The sequence below is a fragment of the Homo sapiens genome, chromosome 4, assembly GCF_000001405.40.
Source record: "Homo sapiens chromosome 4, GRCh38.p14 Primary Assembly".
Taxonomy (NCBI): Eukaryota; Metazoa; Chordata; class Mammalia; order Primates; family Hominidae; genus Homo; species Homo sapiens.
In genome coordinates, this window is record NC_000004.12 from 142,376,589 (window position 1) to 142,392,228 (window position 15,640).

The following is a 15,640-nucleotide window of genomic DNA, read 5'->3' on the forward strand; positions in this document are numbered from 1 at the left end:
TTTCCCTCCTTAAGAAATTCAACTTTAAAAGGCCGCTCTTAGCCACATCTCCAAGTATGGTTATCATCAGCAATGAGCTAAGTGGAAATCATCACCCAACTCAAATTATTAATGGAGTTATGTACCTTAATACTGTTCCTGAGAAACTTCCTATAGTTCAGTGGATTCATGGTGGAAAACTCTGAATCTGGCCCACATTTCAATCTGATTTTGAGCAAATTACTCAAATTCAGTTTCCAGTTGCCTAATCCACATGGTAATACGACAAGGTCCCTATTGAGGATCAAATGTGGTGCTCTCTGTACAAATTATTTGTAATTAATGAAGTTTTAAATCATTTATTTGTTCTCTATTTTATGTAATGTCACAAATCGAGTTAACACTGCTGCAAGTGCTATGTATAGCCATAATGTTACATTACCATTTCCTTTAATTTTTCATGCATTAACACCACTTATACTCCTATTTGATGTTTAAGTAATGGCACTTAAGCCTTAATTCGATTTCATCTTTAATGTTTCCAAGAGTCTAACTGGTTATTTTTTTCTCACAGGAAAAAAAAAATTTTTAAAACAAATTTTAGGTGGCTCCAAACAATCTAACCTGGTTAAACATTGGTCCATTTCACGAATTTTTCCTGAAATTCGTAAATTTCAGGCTAGTGAAGAAACATTTTGCTGATCTTTTTTTTCTGACAAATGTCTTAGAAGGAAGCAAAGTAGGATTGTGAGGAAAGTTAAAAAAAAAAAAATCCTTATCTGCTGCTTTTACCTTCTGCCATGTCCAAGGTCAAAGAATCCTACAAAAGCCTTTCATTTGGAGCAGTTTGAATGATGTCTCAAATATCAAACTGGATGACGACTCAGAGTCAGAAGAGTGAAAAAGAGGGACAAGGTAACATGCTGCTCAAATAAGTATGATTTCGAAAGTGAATCTGGAAGAAGAGGGGTTTTTCTCTCCTTATTCTTTCTTATGTGTGGCTCAAGAAGACACAACCATAGGCATATTGCCATCTGTAATGTAGGCAGAAATGAGAATCAGGTATCAAAATGACATTATTATGATGGAAAATATGAGCATTCATATGCAGTAATCATGTTTTTCAGTTTCTCTCTTTTCAAAAAAATACTCAAGAAATGAATGTTGGACTATCAGAATGCAGAGTATTAGAGTAATTAAATACTAAAATAAATACAGAAAAAATAAGTACTTATTCATTACTCTTCATAGATTTCAAATTCAAACAACCCTGGTGCACCAGCATAAGCTCTGCACCCAGCCACAAGTCCCCTGACAAAAACATATGTAACATATCCAGCCTGATCAATACACTGTGACCATAAGCAACCTTTTGGAGTCAGATACCGTCAAACTGCTAAATCTTATCTTGGAAATACACAGTGTCACTAGGAAAGAATCCCTGAGTTGAAGAAAAATATCTGTAGTAAATAATGCTGATAATTGCACTACTATTGTATTTCCTGTTTCCAAAGTACTTTTACATGTGTGTCTTATTTTCCTTCCAGTAGTCGACAGAGCAGGTGCTGAAGTCTCCATTTTAGAGCTGGAGAAACTGGGACTCAAAAAAGATAACTTGTCCAAAGTCACATAGTAAGCAGCCGATCTGAGACTAGAACTTTTGGCTCTAAATTTTATGTTCTTTCAGTGTGCCATCATGATTGAGAAGGAATCTGTGAGCAAACAGAGTTGTAGCCTTGACCCCTAGGTACAGCTGTTTCCAACACTATGTGAGCCTGATTTTCCCATAACAGTGTTTAAAAACCTTGCTCGGGCACCCATTGGTGGGGTTTTCAAGTGCCTCTTACAGTCTATTGTAATAGCTCATATCCAGTTTGGTATTATCTTTTCTCAGACACTTGTGTAGGTTGCAAGTTCAAAGTCAAACTAATGCCAAGGGCAAGCAACTATTTATTCCACATGTATGCTAGGGAAGGCAGAATGGGAAGGCAATAAAACAGAATCTGAAAGACATGTTCCTGTCTTTAAGCCTACATTAATTGAAAAGATTCTCTCCTTAGAGAGGAGAATATGTCTCTGAATATTAACATTGCCCTAGGACTATTTTGGCTTTTCTCAGCTACAAATGAACTTGAGCCTAGGATTTAAAGTTTAAAGCCTTACTTAATGTACATATACATACAATTTTGTGAATATCACTCAATGCACATGCTTATAATTAAAACACTGTGTATGTGTGAATACACAACCACATGTCCAGAGTTTCCAACATGAGGTCCCACTACCCTTGTTGCTATGAAGCCACAACAAGCAGCTATGCACATTTCACTATGCCTCAACTTAAATTCAAAAATGAAAAGCAAATGTAGTAGTTGCTAACATATGTTTCAAACTCCCTGAGTGGGGTAGGGGGTGCGGGTTGTGGTGAGTTAGCTCTTGTTATTCTTAAATCCTATCCAATTAATATTTTCTTAGGAAGCTGCTTCCTCATATTCCAAAATGCCGATATAACTATCAGTGCCCTTTTCAAAAAACCCAAAATGGCAATTTTTTAAAAATCAGTACATTACATAAAATTTAAATATCACTATAGGCCCCATATCTTCCTATACAACTCTATCTAGGGCTTTCCAAAAGCTGCTGTCTCTATCATCATTACCCAAGTTTGTAAGAAAGACCAATATCCTTGTGAATTCACACTATGAATTCCTTAGGACATGGTATAGTGAGCAGCTGCAACCTCAGCATTTAGCTCCATTCTCAATGAGCACATCTTCAAAGAGAGCTTTACTTAATGCCACGAAACTGAAGGAATCAGGCTCATGGCAATATAAGAAGAAATTCTTTGTGATGTGGAAACAGATGTCCCCTAACATTTTTCAGCATGTGACATCACCTTCTGCCTTGGTACACATAACTTTTTTCAGTAAGCTTAAAAATAATTTTCACATGAGTTTAAATACCAACCCCAACCTAGTTGCAATTATCATTCCATTCACATGACTCCAAGGAAAGCCTGTGTTTCTTTAAAACGTCCTTTTGTTCCTGCTGTGCAGCCTATAAAACCTTACAGTAATTAAAAGCTATTCCTAGCCAAAGCAGACTAACATTTTATATTACTTATAAATAACTAGTTTCTGCTCTTTTCTAGTCAGAAGAAATATTTTGGCAATATATCACATATCAGCTTGGCAAAGCCAAGCAGTAATGGGAAGCCATGCAAGACATGTGTCCTCAGTGTCCACGTCAGGCACTGTGTAAGGGATCACAACCATCAGATTGAGGGTTCATATGCATCCACCTGTACTCACAGCTGTGCCAGGAATGCTACTGTGTAGGCAAGACCAGGTAGAGCTGGCCAGCCAGGTGCTGGAGGCCTAAGCCACTAGGCAAATGGTGACAACTGCAGAGTACTTGAAAGTCGTAAGAATGAAGTAAATATCTCAGAGTCCAGGGAAATAACTTGAGGCAGAAATAAACTCTAAGTTCAGGGTCCCAGTTTCACTCACAAATCCCAGTGGTCAGTTATCAGATCACTTGACTGGCGTTAGCAGGAGAAAGATAAGTGCTCCTAGATCCACTGTGAAACATGAATTACTTATCCTGTTTACTGACTAAAACATAGCAAAGGATCATGCTCCTACATGCTGTTGCAGATCTTCGCATTCCCTTTAAAGTTTCCCCTAGTTATTTCAAGGAGTTCCCTGGGGCTTCATCAAGTATTGCAAATGGCTGTCACTTTCTTCCTCTTCTGCTCCGACCCACCTTGGTAATATTTTCAGCTGCTGCTTCATTCTCTACAGACGTTGAGCAGGCCCCTCACTTATCCCTAGGCACTGACAGCCCTGTCTCACACCCATCAGTATTTCTCCAGGCTATCACTTGCTCAAAACGGTCCCTCCCATAGGAAACTGTGGCAATCCTGATGTATTGAATCTTCAAGATGCAAAAGAGACACTTCTCTCAGGACAATGTATTTTGTGTAGAAGTAATGGGAATGGCACTCTTCTTTTTAAATGATATTTATTTTATTAGAAATAATAAAATCTTTCAGAAAGGCTATTAACATAAGTGTTTTATTATGCTATTATTTCATATTTTCTTTATTTTTCCCTCACCTCCTCATCTACTTCTCCTTATTTCATCTACTGTATGTATCCTCCCATATTTTTCTGCATACTCATAATAGTCACATATAATATATATCATGTAAATGTAAACAAAAATAAACATACCTAAATACATTTTTCATTATTAGTTTTTTTAAAGTGGAATTATGTTAAATACTATTTCTGAAACATCCTGCTTTTCCCAATCATGCAATATTTTGTGGTTCTTCGAAGTCTGCTTTTAGAGCTCCAATTTATTACATCCTTCTTTTTTGTAAGGCTTCATTATATCACCTCATGTGGATGCATCAGAATTTATTCACACATTCCCCTACTGATAAGCCTTCATTCTTTCTAATTTTTCACCATTATAAGCAATACTCAACCACGATTTTCCATATATCTTTAAGTCCTGGTGTTTTGTTTCTATGAGGTTCAAAATTAAGAGTAACATTGCTGGATCAAAATGTACACTTATTTTCATTTGAATAATTGCTGGCAGATTTTTTTAAAGGATGCAAAAATTTACATTCAATCAGCAATGTATGAGAGTACGCTTTTTCTCACATCCTGCCAGCAATGGTTTTTAAAATTCTTGCCAGTCTTATAAGTGAATATTGATAATCACATTGCTATTTTAATTTTGTGTTTCTAATAAAAGACAAAGCATTTTTTCATGTTTCTTGTTTTTATTTTACTGATTTGGATTTGTTTTACTGAAGAGAGCTTCCTCAAATCCTTTGCTCCATTTTTGACCTTTCTGAAATCCGAACTCTCTATATATTATAGAGATTAACCCACTAGCCTCTGAATTGCAAATAATTTTTCATATCTAATTTTCATCTTATTTATGCCATACATATAAAATGTTTAGATTACGATACAGTCATAAATTACCATATATGTCTTTTCTGGACTTCTTAAGAAAACTTTCCCTACTCCTTGCCTCTAGATTGTACAAATAGTCTTTCAGATTAACTTGCAGAAGTTGTAGTGTAGTTTAATTTTCTACACTTAAATAATCCAAATGAAGTTCATTTTTACACATAGAATATAATAAACTGTAATATTATTTTCTTCTAGAAGGATAGTCATTTTACCTGCACTTTTTTTCTTAAATAACCCGTTCTTTACCTATTAACTAAAACCATCAAAATCATAGTTAATTATCATGAATCTTGCAGTCTGCTTCAGGATTCAATATTTTTCCTCACTCTTCTTTTTGTCTATTACAATTAAAAAAACTATGCAAATTTGATTGTAGTTTTATGTTATGTTTCAATGCCTGATCAGGTAAGTCTTACTATTATTTTTAAAATTCCTTGGCTATTCTTGGATATTGATATTTACCCATAATTTTAAAGAAAAAAACGTATCTAATTCCCAACATTCCTCTCCATAAAAAATACTTTTGAGATTTTATTTAAAATTATGTTAAATTTATGCATTGAATTTGGGACAGTTTCTATTTGTACTTTTCTTTCAACAGAAATGTATTCCCATCTGTAAAGATCTTATTGTATATTGTTCAATAATATTTTATATTTTTCAGCTTGGCGCAGTGGTTTACGCCTGTAATCCCAATACTTTGGGAGGCCAAGGCGGGTGGATCACCTGAGATCAGGAGTTCATGAACAGCCTGGCCAACATGGTGAAATCCTATCTCTACTGAAAATACAACAACTAGCTGGGCATGGTGGCAGGTGCCTGTAGTCCCAGCTACTCAGGAGGCTGAGGCAGGAGAATCACTTGAACCGAGGAGGTGGATGTTGCAGTGAGCTGAGGTGGTGCCATTGCACTCCAGCCTGGATGACAGTGAGACTCCGTTTCAAAAAAAACAAAAAACATACATACACATATACATATATATATATATTTACATTTATGTTTATATATTATATATTATATATATACTATAAATATATATATTTATATATTATATATATACTATAAATATATACATTTATATATTATATATATTTATATATATATTTATATTTATATATAAAAAATTAGGTCATTGATTTACAAATACATTTACCTGTAACCAACAAACTTATTAAATGAACACATTAGGTCTTTATTTACCAAGGTGTCTTGGGCTGTCTAGATATTTCAATCATAGTAACAGAAATAATTTTGTGTACTCCTCCCAAATTTTAAATAATTTTCTCATCGTCTTTCCTACAGAGTCCGAGAAAATATTGAATAATAATGATGATAGTGGTTAACTTAGTGTCTAGCAGAAATAATTTAAGCATTTAATTGTTTAGAATATTTATATTACCTTTTAAGGACTTATTTTTACTATAGTCTTATATTTCTCTTTTTCTAGTAAGTGTGGCCATGAGATTTATTAAATGCCTCTTAGCAATGAGTTTTCTCCTTTAGTTATTAACAAAATGGATTGTGTTGATAGATGTACTGATATTAAGCCACTTTTGCTTTCCTGAATTAAACATTACTTGGTCCGAGTATAATTTTTTTCATAGATTAATCCTACTGAACACTGTTACATTTATAATCTTTGCACCTATGCTTTTAATTGAAATTTACTTATAGCTGTTAAAAAAACATTCATCAGGTTTTAGTATTAAACCTACCTAGTCCTCATAAAATATACTTTGGAAGCTTTCTTTTTTTCCCAATATAGTCACAGTCATACTGCTTATGTACCAGTGTTTCAAATATTTCTATTACAATACCCATAAAAGGTGCTTGAAAGAATAACTGCTTACCACCTAGGCTATGAGGTTGTGGGTCAAACCTAACTGCCTAAATTTCTACTTCCTTATCATGAGCTTCCTAACATCTTCTGAGCAGACACCCATCAAAACAGAGTTATGTGGACATGTCAAAATTCCAATCTGTGGACACAATAGGCTCAAAGTAGATCTGCCTTGCAACTTAACTCAACCACTCCTCTCAATAGTATCCCATGATGCTTAAAAATGAAACTGCTCACTATTCAAACACTGATAAGAGAAAAAAAAGTCATATTTTTACCAGAAAAAAAAATCTATTGTTTTTGGACATGTGTAGTAATAGTTCAGAAATATAAGCTTCAAGGATAATCATTAATATTCACAACAGTGGTTGCACAGGCAGGAGGGAAAGGAGAGGAGATTGAGAAGGGGGATATAGAGGACCTTGACTTTATTTATGATGTTTTGTGCTTTGAATAATATCCGGGTGGCGGGAACACAGGTGTGAGCTTATTATTCATGTGACCTCTCTGCATGTCCAGCTATTTCACAAGAAAACTGTTGTGTCTCATTAAGTTACCATCGTGCAGCTGTCAAGAAGCTCATGTGATGTCTTGCACTTGGCCAACCATCCTGCAGACATTTGAACAGGTGACTGAGCAAGTTGTCTCAAGTTGTCTCAGCTCTGAGGACCTCAAGATCCACTTATACTCAAATTCTGGATGAGTTAGCTATCTTGGGAAGAAAAGTGTGATCAGTAAGTTTCCAATCTGACATAGCTTCTAAAAATGTTCAAGAATTCCAGTACATGTGGGTTAAGACAAAAGAAATACCTTAGAAAAAACAGGTATTAACTCAATTAGTTAGTAACAACTTCACTAAATTACATTCCAATGAATTACAGTCATGCATTGCATAATGATGGGGATAGACTCTGAGAAATGCGTCATTAGGAGATTTTGTCATTGTGTGAACTTTGTAGAGTGTACCTACACAAACCTAGATAGTATTGCCTACTACATACTTAGGCTTTATGAAATAACCTATTGCCCCTTGGCTGCAAACCTGTACAGCATGTGACTGTACTGAATACTGCAGGCAATTGTAACACAATGGTAAGTATTTGTATATCTAAACATATCTAAACACAGAAAAGATACAGTACACTTACAGTACTAGAGTCTTATAGGATCACCATTGATCTTATGGAATCACCATTGCATATGCAGTCCATCATTGATCAAAACATCATTATGCAGCGCATGACTGTATATCTCTTGATTATAATGCCCTTTAATTTATTTTTATTTTATTTAACTTTTAAGTTCAGGGGATACATGTGCAGGTTTTAGTTAAACTCGTGTCATGGGGGTTTGTTGTGCAGATTACTTTGTCACCCAGGTATTAAGCCTAGTACCCAATAGTTATTTTTTCTGATCCTCTCCCTCCTCCCACCCTCAACCATGTGGTATTTGGTTTTCTGTTCCTGTGTTAGTTTACTAAGGATCATGGCCTCCAACTACATACGAGTTCCTGCAAAGGACATGATCTCATTCTTTTTTATGGCTGCATGGCTGCATAATATTCCATGATGCATATGTACCTCATTTTCTTTATCCAGTCTATGGTTGATGGGCATTTAGGTTGATTCCATGTCTTTGCTATTGTGAATAGTGCTGCAATGAACACATGCATGCATGCATCCTTATGATAGAACAATTTATATTTCTTTGGGTAAATACACAGTAACAGGATTGTTGGCTCAAATGGTATTTCTGTCTTTAGATCTTGAGGAATCACTACACTGTCCTCCACAGCGGTTGAACTAATTTACACTCCCACTAACAGTGTATAAGCGTTCTTTTTTCTCTGCAACATTGCCAGCATCTGTTGTTTTTGACTTTTCAATTATAGCCATTCTGACTGGTGTGAGATGGTATCTCATCGTGATTTTGATTTGTATTCTCTAATGATCAGTGATACTGAACCTTAAAAAAAAAAAACCACTCTTGAATGTTCAGTGGAGGTAGAGCTCAGTATGAACTTAGGCCAGCATTCCATTACAGAAAAACAGGGTAGAGTATGCTTCTGTACCTAGTGATTAGTTATAACAACTTGTTCACCTCTGAATACAGAATAGGAAATGGTCTTACCGAACGATTATATTTAATTGGAAAAGAGAAAACTAATCCTGGATATTGTCATTTTAAGCTACATTAAGCAATTTTTCTGTAATTTACACATTTGTAGACATGTAAGTGTGAAAGTACTAAAATTACAATTCTGTTTGCCTTCATAAAATAACAATGAAATACCTCTCAGTCAAGCATCCATTCTCCCACAGCCAAGGGATTTTACTTGTGTATTTTTTTATTTATTGACTTTTGAAAATAAATTATGTTATTTTAAAATTTTACTGTTAATTGACAACTATATACTATGTGATGTTTTGATATATGTTCACATTGTGGAATAATTAAATCATGATAATTAAATAATCTTCTCACATAGTTGTTACTTTTTTGTGGTGAGAATATTTAAAATCTTCTCTTTTAGCAATTTTGAAATATACCATACATTATTACTAATTATAGTCACCATTCTGTGCAACAGATCACTAAAGCTTATCTCTTTGATCAGCATCTCCCCTTCTCTGCACTTTCTTCCTCCAGTGTCTGAAAAACACTATCTTCTTCTCTATTTCTATGAGTTCAACTTTTTAAAATTCTGCGTGTAAGTGAGACCATGCAGATGTGTCTTTCTGTGCCTGCCTTATTTAACATAATGTCTTCCAGGTTCATCCTTGTTGTCACAGATGACAGAATTTTATTTTTTAGAGATGAATAGTATTCCATTGTGTACATATACCACATTTACTTTATTCATTCATCCATTGATGAACTCTTAGGTTGCTACCATATCTTAGCTATTGTGAATAATCTATTGTGATAATGCTACAATGAGCATGGGAGTACAGATACTTCTTCAATATACTGATTTCAATTTCTTTGTACATATATTATTAAAGAAAACTAAATAGGGCCTGAAAAGGACTCCATGCTTCTATATTTGAGTCCTTATGGATGAACTGCAACCTAACTTAATAGGTAGACAAGACTGAAAACCTAACTTAGGAGTATGCACCTGTAACAACAGCTGAGTCTTGGCCAATCCCAGCAGCAATACTTCAACCACTTGAACACTGCTGAGTGTTCAAACCACGTTCAAATAAGGCAAATGCCGAGCTGTAACTAATACAGCTGTTTCCGTACCTCACTTCTGATATCTGTATGCCACGTCCCTTTTTATGTCGATAAATCTTTTTCCACTATGTGGCTCCACTGGCATCTCTCTAAATCTACTGTGATTCTGGGTGCTGCCCGAATCGTAAATCATTCCTTGCTCAATTAAACTCCTTTAAATTTAATTCGGCTTAAGTTTTTCTTTTAATAGATTGTGTCAGAAGTGAGGTCCGAAGTAGACCTTCTAACGACCCCCAGGAGCACTGAGTGAACAAGCAAGATACCTTCTGGACCCACTTGTATCCATTGATCTCTCAGAGCAGCTGGGGATCGTGGGTAAGTTCTCTCTCGGATTTCAGAGCTCTACGGGTTTGTGTTTTGAGCTCTCTGAGTTTCTTTGAGCAAATTTTTGTTCCAAACTGGGTTTGACAGTTGTGACAGAAAGTGGACTGGGTCCAGGATGTGATTTGATCCGGTAATTAACTGGCTTAGATCCAGTTAGAGGCCTCTTACATCCCACTGGGTCAGAAAGAAACTGGTAGTAAATGGTAATATTGCAGTGGTTGTAAAAATTTGTCCATTAAAAATTCGTGGGGATTTTTGTGCTCTACCCCTTTGTTTCATTTTTCTTGCATGCTTAGGTAGGAAATGTCATTGGCTAAGTCATCAAGGGAACCTGAGAAAAAGCTAATATTTTAGATAAAAATGGGGTCCTTAATTTCTAAAAATCTCATTTCTTTCTGGCGTATACATTAGGCCCAGGAGGCAGCAAAGTCTTACAGAAAGGGTAAAATCTTGCTAAAGATAACTTACAGTGGAACATTCCAAATGAACAACAATGCACTGAAGTGCATTTAAAAAAAAAAAAAAAGAAAGAAAAAAAGATTTTCTTTTGTGTTGCGTTTGGCCTCCAAGGTTATATAGTGTGGCAAGCAGGGTTAGGTCACTAGGGCCACTCAGGGAAGGGAACCCAGATACCTGATATGCCAACAAAAGGGTAAAAGTTCTTATCAGTCACACTTCTAGCCTCTCTCTGTGCAAATCGGTTGGATGAATGGTAAAAATCATGGTTTATATCCTCTGTTAAGTTTTGATTAATGGGAAAAAGGATTCATGAGGCTAATGTTGAGCTGTAGTGAATCTGGTGTGCTTTGTGTGTCTTTCTGTATTGTTCTATCATACAGAGGGGTACCTTAGGATAGAATGTGAGCCTAGGTCCCCATAAGCCCGCTGTTCAAGATGGCCCAGCAAACTGGTCAGTCATGTCCTTGGGAGCATGACATTGTAACCACGTGGCAGTACTTTCTCTTGGTCTGTGCTCTTACCACAGCAGCCCAGGTTCAATCCTGGCTTAGGGAATGAAAACTATCTGGTTAATGTCTGTGCGACCTTTATTATTTGCTGATTCTCTTCCCCTTCCACAAACAACTTCCAAGTTCTCTTCTTAAATCTTCCTTCCTCTGAGCTACCTCTAAAGATTCTAGATTTTATAAAAACTGCTTACCACCACTTTGAAGATATCTTGTATACTTGTGGTTAAGTTATAACCTTAGTTGAGGCTTGCAGGTTTCACCTGTGAGTTTAAAATCCAGGAATATTGGCCACTCGGCATGGCTAAAGCCAGGCAATAAATTTAAGAGCATTTTTAAAGGAGTGCTATGGTTAAAAGTCAGCTTAATTAGAAGTGGCTATCCAAGTGATAGGTATATTTAAAAGGCCTATGTTCTTCTCTTCTTAGATCTTATTTTTCTGGAAAAAGGGTTTTTTTTTTTCCTTCTCAGTTGACTAAATTATTTTTCTCTATTTGTCTTGCCACTCTTAATGCACACATGAGAGGCCCTAAGATAACTTCTAGTAGCCCGGGTCTCCTTAGAAAAAACAGAGGAGGAGCCACAGAACCCATTTTGGGAAAAACCTGTTTTCCTCATGGAACCCTAGGAATTGAAAATGAATAGATCCCACTCAGAGTCTAAGGCTCTGTTCTGTTTTGTATTGAGTTATCTGATGTTTTTGACTTGGGAAGGTATTAGAGATTGCTTTGCATTTTGAGAGAGCTTTAATTTAGTGTACAATAAATAGGTAGAAAATATACTTTTAGGGATGGGCTAATTAAAAAATAGGCTGATTGGCTTTGGGCTGCCATGCAATAAAATGCACAGTAAAAGAATTGCACTATCTTCTCCTTTTGGGGATCCAGGATACAATGTAAAAATGAGGCCCTCAATTTTGCAGATCTATTTTGCCTTTCAGCTGTGCCTTATATTAGGCTGTAGAAACTGCATATTTTCCTAAGCCTGTGTTTCCAAGGACTCCACCCTAAAGCCAGTATCCAATTAAGAAACTTAGAGGCCCAGTGAGGTAGCTCTCACCTGTTATCCCAGGACTTTGGGAGGCTAATGCAGGTGGACACAAGGTCAGGATTTCGAGACCAGCCTGGTCAACATGGTGAAACCCTGTCTCTACTATAAACACAAAAATTAGCTGGGCACAGTGGCAGGTGCCTATAATCCCATCTACTTGGGAGTCTGAGGCAGGAGAATTGCTTGAAGCTGGGAGGTGGAGATTGCAGTAAGACAAGATTGCCCCACTGCACTCCAGCCTGTGTGACAGAGCAAGACTCCATCTCAGAAAAAAAAAAAAAAAAAGAAACTTAGAAACTGGTAAATGAAAAATCTTACAACTACTGGATCTTCTTCTTTCAGTGTAGTTATATATGTGTCATGTGTATAATGTTTCCGTAAAAGAGCTCTAATTAATTGGCTTAAAGAAAAATAAGCACTTAGATCAAATATTTTGAAAGAAAAATAAAAACTGTAATGCCTTTTAGTTTACGTGACTTTTAATCTTTGGGAAATAAGTTTTTAAGATTGTTAGTAAAAATAAAGCCATTTGGTCTAAATTAAGCAGATCAGATATTAGGTTTGTTGAATGCTTTAAGATCATAAACTGCATGTTTGGCTTTTGAAGATTATTCAATTTACTTACTTTGGAGCCTTAGAGTCTAGATAAGGCATGGGGACATGTGGAGAGCCACATCCCAAACTATACTGGAAAGAGTCAGACCTCACCTGCACCTAGTACATAATTAAAATAACTTATGAGATTTTTTACCAAGATTAAAATTTGCTAAGAGTTACCATGATAACATGTAATTGAGACTACTGAAAACATAGTTTTACATGCAAGATGTCTGAGGAGAGTGAAATGTGTTTTTGGTAAAAGATTATAAAAAGGCATAGGGATGTAAATTTTTGCCTAGAGGATGAAAGGATTGTTTTAAATTAGAAAAGATAACACTAAAAGTTTGAACAAGTTGTGAAAGGTTTGTAAAAATTAATCTTGTAAAAAGAAATCCTGTGTGGACACTGGCTAAAGTTAAAGGGGTATTAAGTTTTTCTGTAAATTGAACATTGGAATAAAAACAAAACAGACCTTTCTTAGAGCACTGATCTGCTCTTTCACAGGAATTATAAAGAATTATAAAATGTTTATGAGAATCTCACCATACGGTCAAACTGATTAAGATAGATACATTTTATCTATAAGGTTTTATTAAAAATTGGGGATAACATTAAATAGTAGACTAATGCAAGGGTGAAATTTGGCTTTTTCTCTTGAACAAGATTTTCATGTAATATTAGAAGATAATAAAAATGTTTTTGTTTCCCTTTGAATAAACTATCAGAAAAAGAAGGGAAAGGCAAGAGTTTGGAAAGCGGAGTCTTCCCTCTATCAATGAGTAAAGGTTTTGGCCTTTTCAAAAATTTTTGAGTCATCATTTTGGCTAAATGAATGACTTATGGTAACCTGGAATTCTATTTCATAGTATCAAGTGTTTTAAACCTTTAACATATTTGATAGGCTTCCCAAAATCAAATTTCAGCTTCAACATTATCTTTTCTGACTTATAACTTTGAGATGCTACAGAGGGCCCCTAAAACATTCAAAAGAGAGGTAAATAGGATTATTTGACGTATTTAGATATATGGGGAGCATTCTCAAAATAAAACATAATGTTTAATGTTCTATTTTAGTGTATGTTATCAATATCTTCCAAAATTGAATGGGATTTCTAAAATTCCAATATGTCTGAGTATATGGTATCATAATTATAGTTACTATGTTAAGTTATTGTAGACCACAGAAATAACCAAATTGCCTTGTCAATTGTGTCTTTAACTACGACTATTTAGAGTCATTTCCACAGTTAATTGCATAATGCTGATGCAGTTTCTGAAAACTTCACAAGCATGCAAAATCCTAGAATATGGTGTCTTTTAGGAGGTTCATGAAAGAATGGAAAGGACCCTGAAAAGCACTCTTCAATACAGGTTTCTAGTAACTTTAAATTCATATCATTTGGACTGGTAAGAATTCCTGAAACTTTAATGAATATAAACCAGACTGACTGGTTTATAAAACTGCTAACCCAAGTAGAACAAAAATTATTTATTTGAATACCAAGAAAATACTTTGCCAGATTTTCATACTTAATCAGCCAATACTAAAATTGTTTTGATATACAATTTGAATAAATTCCATGGTCTAAGCCAAATTACCTATAATAACCCATCAGTTACCAGTGCTAGGCACCTAAATTGCAGAAACAACTGGTATTCAAGAGGACAAAGTCCAGTGTTAAACATGGACTCGGCTGGGCATGGTGGCTCATGCCTCTAATCCCAGCACTCTGGGAAGCCGAGGCGGGTGGATCATCTGAGGTCAGGAGTTCATGACCAGCTTGGCCAACATGGCAAAAACCCAACTCTACTAAAAAACACACAAAAAAATAGCCGGGTGTGGTGGCCGGCATGTGTAATCCCAGTTACTTGGGAGTCTGAGGCAGGAGAATCGCTTGAACCCAGGAAGCAGAGGTTGCAGTAAGCCGAGATCGTGCCACTGCACTCCAGCCTGGGCCAAGAAGTGAGACTGTGTCTCAAAACAAACAAAAAACAAAACAAACAAAACAAACAAAAACAAACAAACAAAAAAAACCATGTACTCCTGGAGAAGGAGGATGGCCACCTTATCTTTCTTGAGTCCTTAAAGCTATTGTTATTAAAAGTTCTGCATGCCATGATTCATCATAGAAAAGATAAAAGAGTCCAAATTGAATATATTGGTATAGTGACTTATAAATTCCTAAATAGTTTATAACCAATGTTTGGTTTGTCAACCCATATTCCTGAGAAAACAATCAAAGCTTCAGGTACATTTGGTTGCCTGTTGGGCCGTTTAAACATTTTATGAAGGGATTTTATTCAATTGTCATTTTCAACGCATGTTTTCTGATTGTATAAAAGCTTTCCCATGGAAGAGGGCTGATGTTATAAAAGTAAATTATTATGCTACAGTGTATTTTCAGCAGAAAAAGAAAGCTTTTTATGGTTCACTGAGGACAGTCAACCTCTTCACAATCTAGAACCCAAAGACCAAATCTTCTGAGAATATCAGAGAAAGACTGTCTTTGACATCCACACTACAGCAAAACTTCAGGACTGTGAACCTTGGTTTATAATCTCACAACTGAGAATGGTCCCTGCACACTGTTGGAACTGTATACCCACTGGAACCCCTTTAGGTAAAGCTAACCAGGAAAATTTCT

General features: G+C 35.6%; 1 protein-coding gene across 57 annotated transcripts in view; it reads right to left on the reverse strand.

Annotated features, from left to right (window-relative positions):
* Window positions 1–15,640, reverse strand: part of INPP4B (inositol polyphosphate-4-phosphatase type II B) — an 823,376-nt gene that overhangs the window by 353,429 nt on the left and 454,307 nt on the right. Inside the window, exon 4 of one of the 57 annotated variants that reach the window (NR_169599.1) lies at window positions 7,374–7,528. The exons of the other annotated variants lie outside the window; for them this stretch is intronic. The gene's annotated coding sequence lies outside the window, so the exon portion shown is untranslated. The remainder of the gene's footprint in view (window positions 1–7,373; window positions 7,529–15,640) is intronic. 57 annotated transcript variants of the gene reach the window in all.